Consider the following 12,451-nt stretch of genomic DNA (forward strand, 5'->3'; position numbering starts at 1 on the left):
AGGCGTGAGTCACCACGCCCGGCCTAGAAACATGACTTGTAATGAAAAATTAAGTTCTTCAAAACTCGAGTTTGACACATGCATGTTGTAAATTGGTATTTTCTTTTTATATATACTTCAGATCAACAGAGGAGGATATTTTTGCCACCACCACCTGGAATTAGAAAATGTGTCATATCCACCAATATTTCTGCAACGTCTTTGACAATAGATGGAATCAGGTAAAACTTTTGAACTTTCTCTTAAAGTCAAGGAAGCCTATCGTTACTAAACATTAGCTAAACATTACTGAGTTTGCTTTTCTGTGCCCTCCACTAATTCCCTTCTCTCCTACTTTTTGATGTTCTTAACATGTAATCACCTATTTTGTTTTGTAATTATTGATTGCTTTGAGCAGGAAATGGAGTAGGAGGTACATACTATATTCCTATTCACACTTTTTGTTTTTTTAGAGACAGGGTCTCATTATGTTGCTGAGGCTGGAATATAGTGACTATTCACAGGCGTGCAGTCATAGCACACTACAGCCTTGTATGGAGATCAGCCAATCCTCCCGCCTCAGTCTCCTGGGTAGCTGGGACCACAGGCATGTGTCACCGTACTTGGCTGTTCACACTTTTTAACTACTTGGCAACTTGAAGCTTCTTTTCAAATTTAAGATTATGTATAATGCTTTATGGGTTTCACTAAATAGGAAGCCAAACCTATTTTTCTGTACTCCCATTATAAGCATATACCTTAGATGATTTGATATTTCCTTCTACCTTGCAGCCTCACTCGGTAGAGTTAGTTTGTATATCCAGTGTTTATCTGGATGTATTGTCTCTGACTTTTTACCTTTTTGTGAAAATTAACTATGATTCAGGTCCCTTATCTTTTCTGGATGTAGTAAATAGTGCTATCAAATTTTTGGGTAAATTTAGTAAGGAAACACTAAGAAATTTTAAGTCTGGACTGACAACTAATGCAAAGTTCTTTAAGACTGGGTTATTTATCATTTACCGAATATATTTTATTTCTTTAGCTAAGTCTGATTGTCTGTCTCCGGAAGGCTGAACCTGAATCTCAAAGATCCTGTGTGTTTCTTCTGGGTAAAATGATCACCCAGGTCTGAGAGGAAGTCTAATTTCCTCTGCTTTTCTTCGTTACTTTAAAAATAATGGTTTCACTAAGGGATTAAGGGAGTGCTCTCCTGGGTAAATTAACCTCTGTAATTTTCTGTTTCCTGCACAGGCAAAAGCCATTAAATAGCATGTTTCAGAATGTTGTCTTGTTACTGCTATCCTACTTTGGTTCCTTACCTGACTTGTTCACCATTTAATTGGCTTAGAATGGCATGTTAAGGGCTAGTTGAAATTAGATTCTGAATCTGTTTAAATGGTCTGAAGCTGACTTTCAAGTTTGTGTATTTTTGTATTGAGGCAAAATTCACATAAAATTAATCATTTAAAATGAAAAATTAAGTAGTACTTAGTACATTTACAGTATTGCGCAACCACTGCTTCTGCTTAGTTCTAAAATATTTCAACACCTCAAAATAAAACCCCATACCCATTAAGCAGGTACTCCACATTCCCCTCTTGACCCCAGCCCTTGGCAACTACCAGTCTTACTTTTTGTTTGTACGTATTTTCTTTTTTAAAAAATTCTTTAGATGTGTCAGCAGGAAGCAGTAGGTATTTTCTATTCTGGATATTTCATACAAATAGAATCATATAATATGTGGCCTTCTGTGTTTGCTTTCTTTCACTTAGCATAATATTTTTGAGGTTCGTCCACATTGTAGCATGTATCAGTACTTCATTCTTTTTTGTGGCTGAATAATATTGCATAGTGTGTGTGTGTATATATATATATATATATTCCATTGTGTGTGTATATATGCGTGTGTATATATACTACATACATATATGCAAAGCAATTTGTTCATCCCTTCTTCCATTAATGGTTAATGGACATTTAGGTTGTTTTTACCTTATGGCTGTGATTCATAGTGCTGATATGAACATTGGTCTATAAGTATTTGTTTGAGTACTTGTTCTCAGTTCTTTTTGGTGTACACTTAGAAATGGAATTGCTGGATCATATGGTAATTTTGTGTTTAACTTCTTGAGGACCTCCGAACAATTTTCCACCTCGGCTGAACCATTTTACATTCCCACCAACAACATACGAGGGTTCCAATTTCTTGACTTTCAAGTTTTACACTTAACATAAAAGGCATTGTGTACCTGCTAGTTTGCTAGAAAAGGAGAAACCAAAGTGGTTAACAATTAACAAGTCTTCTTTTATTTTCCAGAAACTTAACTTGCTTTGATTCTTCTTAGATATGTGGTAGATGGTGGCTTCGTGAAGCAGTTAAATCACAACCCCAGATTAGGGTTGGACATCCTGGAGGTGGTTCCAATTTCAAAGTAAGTCTCTATGTCAAATCTTTTTATTCAAAGAACAACTGATTAGGTAATTTCTAGCTGTTTTGGGGAGACAAAGTAAATTACCTGAGAAACCCACAGAACATTTTGGGGAATTTTTGGGTTTTTTTCCTTTTGTAGGAGCGAGGCATTACAGCGAAGTGGCCGAGCTGGCAGGACTTCTTCAGGAAAATGCTTTCGGATCTATAGTAAAGATTTTTGGAACCAGTGTATGCCTGACCATGTGATCCCTGAAATTAAGAGAACTAGTTTGACATCTGTAGTTCTGACCTTAAAGTGCCTTGCCATACACGATGTCATAAGGTATGTAGACAACTAGAAAAAAAAGGAAAAACTTGTTAGCCTGGAACCAAGTTATTGGCTCAAAAATTATTTTGAAATATTTGACTGATACATCCCTGAGAGTTGAGGCTAACCTCTTTTACAGGTTGGTTTTTATATTGGTTGCTTTTCTTTTCTTTTTTTTTTTTTTTTTTTTTTTTTGAGATGGAGTCTTGTTCCGTTGCCCAGGCTGGAGAGCAGTGGCACGATCACGGCTCACTGCAACCTCCGCCTCCCGGGTTCAAGCAATTCTCCTGTCTCAGCCTCCCGAGTAGCTGGGACTACAGGTACCTGCCACCATGCCCAGCTAATTTTTGTATTTTTAGTAGAGATGGAGTTTCACCTTGTTGGTCAGGCTGGTCTCGAACTCCTGACCTCAGGCGATCCACCCACCTCGGCCTCCCAAAATGCTGGGATTACAGGTGTGAGCCACTGTGCCTGGCTCTATTGGTTGCTTTTCAACTAAACTAACACAGAAGACTTCCTTGCATTGCTTTAGTAGGATCTCTTGCTCATGTTTAACCTTGGCTTAATGGCGGGGTTAGGGGGTTGTGCTGATGTTTATGTGGATCACTTAGTGACCACTGTTTATTTGTAATGAAAGGTATATAATGAGCTGGGCATAACAGCTTATGCCTGTAATCTCAGCACTTTGGATGGCCAAGGTGGGAGGGTTGCTTGAGCCTAGGATTTCGAGACAAGCCTGGGCAACATAGTGAGACCTTGTCTCTACAATTAAAAAAAAAAAAAAGTCTGATATGGTGCATGCTTGAGTCCCAGATATTTGGAGGCTGAGACGGGAAGATTGCTGGAGCCGGGCAGGTAGAGGCTGCAGTGAGCCATGATTGCACCACTGCGGTCCAGCCTGGGCAACAGAGTGAGACCCTGTTTCAAAAGAAGGGGGCTGGGCGTGGTGGCTCACGTCTGTAATCCTAGCACTTTGGGAGGCCAAAGTGGGCGGATCCCTTGAGGCCAGGAGTTTGAGACCCGCCTGGCCATCCTGGCAAAACCCCGTAGCTACTGAAAATATAAAAATTAGCTGAGCTTGGTGGCACGTGATTGTAGTCCCAGCTACTCCGGAGGCTGAAGCACGAGAATCACTTGAACCCAGGAGGCAGAGACTGCAACGTGCCAAGATCACACCACTGCACTCCAGCCTGGTCAACAGAGCGAGATTCTGTCTCAAAAAAAACAAAACAAAACAAAAGGGTATACAGTTGGAAAGTGGAGTGTTTTTTTTGTATGGCCAGCATCATACTATATACCATGAAAGACAGAGTAATACTCTGTAGTTTTTTGCTTTCACTAAGCTTAAGTTATATTAGGAAAACAAGGTTCAGACACGTGAAATAAAGGAAGAACAGTTAAATTAGCCAAATATTAATATAATTTATTGGTATAAGATAGAATATTGTTATAGATAGAAATTTCTATCATACATGGTAGGGGAATTAATGGAGGAAAGTACTATCTTCTTTATTTTGGTCTTAATTGCCTTGGAATGTAAAACTGCTCAGGAATTTTGGGGGATGGTAACCGTGCAGTTTTTAAATTCATAGTAAGTGATTATTAGGTGCATCCAAATATGTATTGTAGGCCGGGTGCGGTGGCTCACGCCTGTAATCCCAGCACTTTGGGAGGCCGAGACGGGTGGATCACCTGAGGTCAACCTGGCCAACATGGTGTAACCCTGTCTCTATTAAAAATACAAAATTAGCCAGGATGGTGGTGCTCGTCTGTGATCCCAGCTACTTGAAAGCCTGAGGCAGGAGAATTACTTGAACCCGGGAGGCAGAGGTTGCAGTGAGCCGAGATTGCGCCATCGCACTCCAGCCTGGGCAACAAGAGCGAAACTCTGTCTCCAAAAAAAAAAAAAAACCAAAAAAAGCAAAAAAAAACCCCAAAACCCACAAATACTCATTGTATACTCTTGGAAAGCCAATTTGCCAATTTCAAAATGTTTTGATAGTTATCATTAGATTAGAGATTTTCTGAATGAGAATATGTAGATACTGGAAAGAGAAAAGCATGTAATAAATGAAATTCTGACTGTAGCAATAAATTATACCAATGAAAAGAAGGAAAGCGCCATTTAAAGAAATCCAAAGAGCCCAATAGAAAACTTTCAGATGAACCCAGATATTAAAATAATGTCTTGATTTTTTTCATTTGGGGAAAAAGGGCCATTTTTGGAAATAGCTGCTCAGTAAGTTTGACATTGACTCTTAGTATATTCACAAAGGATAGCAGAGCAGCCTCTAACCAAGAATGAGTATATATTAGAAAAATAGGAACAATAATTAATATCATCTGCATTGAATTATTTTTCCATCTTAAGTCTTAAAAGCCATAGTGTACTAAAAATCGCAAAATTATGTTTCAAAATGCTTGAAACAAAAAACAAAGACTTCCTTTTTAAAAAGTTGTATAAAGAATAAGGAGAGGTAGAGCCAGTGTTTGGGGTAGATGGTATAGGATTCATAGACGACAGAAAGAAAATGGATCTTCTCAATTATTATTTTGCTTTCCCTTTCTTTTCCATCAGGAAGAATAATTTTAAAGCTGAAAATGCAAGAACAGGTCTGAATAAGAAGGAATTGATGACTAAGGTGGAAGGAAATAATGAGGGAAAACCTACCACCATAAGTGATTTTGTCTTGAGCATTTAGACATTATTTCCGTGGTGTTAAAAGAACTTGCAGATTTAGCGTCAGAGTCACTGTAGGTCATCTATGAGAAATTATGCAGAATACGTTATCAGAAAATGGTGAGAAAGGCAAAAGTCTTAATTTTTTTCATTTGGTAAAAAGGGCGGGTTCTGGAAACAACTACCCAGTAAGCTTGACATTGATTACTAGCGAACTCTAGTACAGTTTATTGAAAAATGGTTTAAGGAAATTTAATGACGATTAATGAGTATGAATTTTAAAAGTTCACAATGAATATGTCATTTTTTGTTGTTGTTGTGTTTGGTTTTGGTTTTCTGAGGCAGGATCTCACTCTGTCACCCGGGCTGGAGTGCAGTGGCACAATCTCAGCTCACTGCAACCTCCACCTCCCAGGTTCAAGCGATTCTCGTGTCTCAGCCTTCTGAGTAGCTGGGATTACATGCGTGTGCCACCATGCCCGGCCAAATATGTCATTATAAGCCATTTCCTTTTCAGTTTGAGGACAGGACCGTCCACATAATGGGTGCTCCACAAGAATTTATTGAAATTTAACCTAATGTCTTTTATTTTCAGCACAGTATTTAACAATACTGCATTTGATATCTTGTGAATAAAAAAGTAGTCTGTAGATGACAGTACTGCTGAGTATAGTTGCCAGATAGCCCAGTCTAGAAAAGTATTAATTAATTGCTTAGTGTAGACTAGATGAAGTTTTTACTGGTATTGTGCTGAACTTAGTTTTTTCTTGATAAACATTTTTAATGATACTGAATAAAAATATTGAAGTTATGATTATATTTTTCTGGAAAATATCTTAATATCTAATAGGTAGATGACCAAGCTTTAAAATGACTTTAACAGATTAGAACCATGGGCAAAAATCAACAGGGTGTAAATTTGAAAGGATATATCTTATATCCTGTGTTTGGGATGTACAATAGCAAATACATGTGGTAGAGATCTGAAATTATCAGATCATCACAACCTTAATATTGGCTTATACGTATGGCTCTGTTTAAAAAATTTTTTTTAGGCCGGGTGCGGTGGCTCACGCCTGTAATCCCAGCACTTTGGGAGGCCACAGTGGGCGGATTGCGAGGTCAGGAGATGGAGATCATCCTGGCTAACACAGTGAAACCCCGTCTCTACTAAAAATACAAAAAATTAGCTGGGTGTGGTGGCAGACGCCTGTAGTCCCAGCTACTCGGGAGACTGAGGCAGGAGAATGGCGTGAACCCGGGAGGCGGAGCTTGCAGTGAGCCCAGATCGCACCACTGCACTCCAGCCTGGGCGACAGAGCAAGACTCTGTCTCAAAAAAAAAAATTTTTTTTTTAATTCCACTGGCATAGACTTTGGTTACATTAATAAACTAGGTGATGGGGAATTACAGCGTTCCTGTTATGTGTTGGTCACTCAACATTTGGAGTTCAGTTTTGGATATAATCAAGTTTTATGAGGAGTTTGACATACTAGTGTTTTTAGAGAATGGTACTTAGGTATGGTAGATCTCTTAGAAACCAAGTAACTTATAAGGAGTGGTTGACAGAATTGGTAATTGGAGGAATCAAGGGGGGAAATTAATTGCAATATTTTAGAATAAGTAGTTTTTCCTTTTATATAGAAGAAGCAGCTGACTGGTTTGGTATTGCTCTAGCACAAGGGTGGCAAACTGTGGTCTAATCTCACTGACTGTTTTTGTAAATAAAATGTTAGAATGCAGCCATACCCATTTGTTTATGTGTGGCTGCTTTCACTGTAATAGCATGGTTGAGTAATTGTGACAGAGACCATATGGCCTGCAAGCCTAAGCTATTTACTATCTGGCCCTTTACGGAAAATGTTTACCAATTCTTGCTGTAGAAGCTACCAGGACCTATTGGTACAAATTGTAGGAAAGCTGGCAGTAGAACAGTGTAAGAGATTATTGTTTGCTTATTATTTTTTCTTTTTATAAGAGATGGGATCTTGCTGTGTTGCCTAGGCTGTTGTCAAACTCCTGAGCTCAAGCAGTCCTCCTGCCTCAGCCTCCCAGAGTGCTGAAATTATAGGCGTGAGCTACCATCCTTGGCCTTGTTTTATTTATTTATTTTTAAATAGGGTTATCAATCCTGGAATGGACATTTTATATAAGGTATTGGACCTTTTGTCTTCTATTGGATTTTTTTCAAGGTGAGAAGTTGGAGTAGATGATTTTTCATATCCAGATTTAAGGTGGAAAAAATAACCCAGTGCAGATGATATCAAGTAATTATTTTTCCTGTTTTTAAAAAATATATATTCATGTTTGATGATGCTATCCCTTTTGAATATTATTGTTAATTGTTAATTTTATTATATTTATTAATAGCGCATTATGGTGATGTAAGAGAATGTCCTTATTTTCAGGAGATGCATGCCGAGATAGTTGTAAGTGTGCAATGGCATTGTATTTGCAACTTATTCTGAGATAGTTTGGCAGAAAATAAGTACATACACATGTACACATATGTGACACAAATATGGCTAAATTAATTGAATATATTTCCCCATTTATATGAAAGCATTTTGTCCGGCCGGGTGCGGTGGCTTACGCCCGTAATCCCAGCACTTTGGGAGGCTGAAGTGGGTGGATCACCTGAGGTCAGGAGTTTGAGACAAGCCTGACCAATATGGTGAAACCCCGCCTCTACTAAAAATACAAAAATTATCTGGGCATGGTGGCAGGTGCCTGTAATCCCAGCTACTCAGCAGGCTGAGGCAGGAGAATCACTTGAACCCAGGAGACGGAGGTTGTAGTGAGCCGAGATTGCCACACTGCACTCCAACCTGGGCAGCAGAGTGAGACTCCGTCTCAAAAAAAAAAAAAATTAAATTGTATTTAAGAAGCATTTTGAGGCTGGGTGCGGTGGCTCACGCCTGTAATCCTAGCACTTTGGGAGGCCGAGGCGGGCGGATTGCTTAAGCACAGGAGTTCAAGACCAGCCTGGGCAACATGGTGAAACCCTGTCTCTACTAAAATACAAAAAATTAGCTAGGCGTGGTGGCATGTGCCTGTAGTCCCAGCTACTCGGGAGGCTGAGGCAGGAGAATTGCTTGAACCTGGGAGATGGAGGTTGCAGTGATCAGAGATCGTGCCATTGCACTCCAGCCTGGGCAACAGAGCGAGACTCCATCTCCAAAAAAAAGCATTTTGAGGTACTATTGAACAATTTATAATTTTCAGTACTAATTAATATTTCTCTACTATTAATATTTCTCTACTATTTTTATAAAAGTTTGGAAAAAAATTATGGACTGCAGAAAAGAGTAGACTTGACAGGCTGTGAAGGATGGGTGGGGCAGGATTAGGATAAGTAGACTGGTGAGAGTATTTCAGCTAAGGGGAGTCAAAAAGAATCACTTCTTGAAGTAGAGGAGTGTGATTCAGAAAAAAATTATTTCCTCTTTTGCCAAATGCTGATCATGATCATATAATTTTTTTTTAGAAAAAGAAGATGACTTGAAAAATAGAAATAAAACCTTTTAAAGAAATTTTCGTCATGTCTATATAAAATCCTACCATGTTCAAGGAATGCCTCTCACTTCATATCTCATTTAAACACACAGGTTTCCCTATTTGGATCCACCTAATGAGAGACTTATTTTAGAAGCTCTTAAACAACTTTACCAGTGTGATGCTATTGACAGGTAAAAAAAAAAAAAAAAAATCACAATCAAAACAGATATTGATCTCTTTTTAAACAGGGCTCTAAATACCTTTCTCTAACAGTAGAAAATAATTTCTTTAAATTGAATGGATTGTTAGTCTTTCATCACAATTCTGATTGAAAAACCAGCCGGGCGCTGTGGCTCATACCTGTAATCCCAGCACTTTGGGAGGCCGAGGTCGGTGGATCATGAGGTCAGGAGATCGAGACCATCCTGGCTAACATGGTGAAGCCCCGTCTCTACTAAAAATACAAAAACAAAATTAGCTGGGCGTGGTGGTGGGCGCCTGTAGTCCCAGCTACTCGGGAGGCTGAGGCAGGAGAATGGTGTGATCCTGGGAGGCAGAGCTTGCAGTGAGCCAAGATCATGCCACTGCACTCCAGCCTGGGCAACAGAGCGAAACTCCATCTGAAAAAAAAAAAAAGGAGAAAGAAACTGCACGGTATAATCCCTTTTGTTTAATAAATATTGGTATTATTTAACAAGTAATTTCTGAGTACCATTTCAGTGCTAAGCATTATGCTGGATACATAAAAATGATAAGAGAGCCAGAGTCCTTGTTTTCATGTTTGTGTGATGGGGTGGTTAGGTTTGATATTAATAATTATTATTCTCTTGGATGTGCGTGGTGGCTCACGCCTGTAATTCCAGCACTTTGGGAGGCCAAGGCGAGCAGATTGCTTGAGCCCAGTTGTTCGAGACAAGCCTGAGAAACATAGTAAAACCCATCTCTACTGAAAATACAAAAATTAGCCGATGGTGTTGGCACATGCCAGTAGTCCCAGCTACTTGGGAAGCTGAGGTGGGAGGATCGTCTGAGCTTCGGAGGTGAGGGGTGCAGTGAGCTGAGGAGATTGCGCCATTGCACTCCAGCCTGGGAGACGGAGCAAGACCCTGTCTCCAAAAAAAAAAAAACGGTAAAATTGAAAAAATAAAATTATTATTCTCTCATGTCTTCAAAGACATCTTCTTTTTTTTTGTTTTTTGAGACGGAGTTTTACTCTTGTTGCCCAGACTGGAGTACAATGGTGCAATCTCACCTCACTGCAATCTCCACCTCCCAGGTTCAAGCAATTCTCCTGCCTCAGCCTCCCAGGTAGCTGGGATTATAGGCATGCACCACCATGCCCAGGTAATTTTTTTATATTTTGGTAGAGATAGGGTTTCACCATGTTGGTCAGGCTGGTCTCAAACTCCTGACCTGAAGTGATCTACCTGCCTCGGCCTCCCAAAGTGCTGGGATTACAGGTGTAATCCCCCTCAGCCTCCTTAGTAGCTTTGCAACCTTTGCCTCCCGGGTTTGAGTGATTCTCCTGCCTCAGCCTCCCAAGTAGCAGGGACTACAGGCGCATGCCACCACACCCAGCTAATTTTTGTGTTTTTAGTGGAAACGGGGTTTTGCCATGTTGGCCAGGCAGGTCTTGAACTCCTGACCTCAGGTGATCCACCTGCCTCAGCTTCCCAAAGTGCTAGGATTACAGGCATGAGCCACCACGCCTGGCCTAATTTTCTTAAATTGAATTGAACTTCTGGAGGTGATTGGAGGTAACGTAAATTATATCTGATTTATTCTGAATGATGAATGTTACATTTGTACTCTCCTAGTGTAGAAAGACTTACAAACTTTTTCTTTGTATTAAGGAGTGGCCATGTCACCAGATTGGGTTTGTCTATGGTGGAGTTTCCTTTGCCTCCACATCTGACATGTGCAGTAATAAAAGCTGCTTCCCTGGATTGTGAAGATCTACTACTTCCAATAGCAGCAATGTTGTCTGTGGAAAACGTCTTCATTAGACCTGGTAAGATGTTTATTTTAAGTTGTGTTTTTTAAAACTAATAGACTTGGCTGGGCACGGTGGCTCACGCCTGTAATCCCATCACTTTGGGAGGGCAAGGCAGGTGGATTGCTTGAGGTCAGAAGTTGGAAGACCAGCCTTACCAACATGGTAAAACCCCATCTCTACTAAAAAAAAAAAAAAAAAAAAAACCAAAAACAAAATTAATAGACTTTATTTTTTAGAGCATTTTTAAGTTTACAGAAAAATTTAGTAGGAAGTACAGAGGGTTGACATTCATCCCCTCAACCTCCCACAGCAATTTCTCCTATTAACATCTTTGATTTGTATGACATATAAGTTGCAATTGGTGAGCCAATATTGACACATTATTATTAACTAAAGGGATCACTCTTTGTGTTATATGGTTTTAGCTGGGATTATAGGCATGTGCCACCACGCCTGGCTAATTCTGTATTTTTAGTAGAGGCGCGGTTTCTCCATGTTGGCCAGGCTGGTCTCGAACTCCTGACCTCAGGTCATCTGCCCGCCTTGGCCTCCCAAAGTGCTGGGATTACAGGCGTGAGCCAGCACGCCCAGCCGGGTTGTTTTCTTATTGTTAAGAGGTCTTTGCATATTTTAAATAGTTATTTAACAGATAGATCTTTTGTAAATATTTTCTCCCAGTCTGTGGTTTATCTTCTAATTGTTTTGACATTGACTTTTGCAGAGCGGAAGTTTTTATTTTTGACGAAGTCTACCTTATCAATTATTTCTTTCATAGATTGTGTCTTTATTGTTGTATCTAAAAAAGTCATTGTCGTACCCAAAGTCATCTAGATTTTCTCTTCTATTGTCTTTTAGTATTTGGACGTACAGTTGTTGCGGTACCATTTGTTCAAAACACTGTCCTTTTTCTGTTGAAATGCCTTCGCTTCTTTGTTAAATATCAGCTGACTATTCTTATATGGGTCTGTTTCTGGGCTCTGTATCTTGTTCCATTTATCTGATTGTCTGTTTGTTCTTCCACCAATACCACACTGTCCTGGTTATTGGAGCTTTATAGTAACTCTTGAAGTTTTGTTCTTCCTCTTCAAAATTGTTTAGGCCATTCTGGGTCTTTTTCATATAAACTTTAGAACCAGTCTGTTGAAATCCACAAAATAACTTGCTGAACTTGCTGGGATTTTTTTTTTTTTTTTTTTTTTTTGAGATGGAGTCTTGCTCTGTCACCCGGGCTGGAGTGCAGTGGCCTGATCTCGGCTCACTACAAGCTCTGCCTCCCAGATTCGTGCCGTTCTCTCGCCTCAGCCTCCCGAGTAGCTGGGACTACAGGCGCCCGCCACAACGCCCGGCTAATTTTTTGCATTTTTAGTAGAGACAGGGTTTCACTGTGTTAGCCAGGATGGTCTCAATCTCCTGACCTTGTGATCCACCCGCCTCAGCCTCCCAAAGTGCTGGGATTACAGGCGTGAGCCACCGCGCCCGGCCCTTGCTGGGATTTTAATTGGGATTATGTTTTAATTAAGATAGATTAAGTTGCGAAGAAATGACATCTTGACAGTA

The 12,451-nt window shown here is 39.8% G+C and overlaps 1 protein-coding gene across 6 annotated transcripts in view; it reads left to right on the forward strand.

Moving 5' to 3' along the window:
* The window catches only part of DHX40 (DEAH-box helicase 40), a 42,736-nt gene that overhangs the window by 11,535 nt on the left and 18,750 nt on the right, over positions 1-12,451 (forward strand). For 3 of the 6 annotated variants that reach the window (NM_024612.5, NM_001166301.2, XM_017025080.3), the window contains 5 exons: positions 122-221; positions 2,328-2,414; positions 2,553-2,735; positions 9,009-9,089; positions 10,752-10,909. In NM_024612.5, the coding sequence (NP_078888.4) occupies positions 122-221; positions 2,328-2,414; positions 2,553-2,735; positions 9,009-9,089; positions 10,752-10,909 (609 nt within the window). The remainder of the gene's footprint in view (positions 1-121; positions 222-2,327; positions 2,415-2,552; positions 2,736-9,008; positions 9,090-10,751; positions 10,910-12,451) is intronic. The other 3 variants (XM_011525253.4, XM_047436758.1, XM_006722083.4) reach the window with 2 other exon arrangements.

Source organism: Homo sapiens, chromosome 17 (assembly GCF_000001405.40).
Source record: "Homo sapiens chromosome 17, GRCh38.p14 Primary Assembly".
Lineage (NCBI taxonomy): Eukaryota > Metazoa > Chordata > Mammalia > Primates > Hominidae > Homo > Homo sapiens.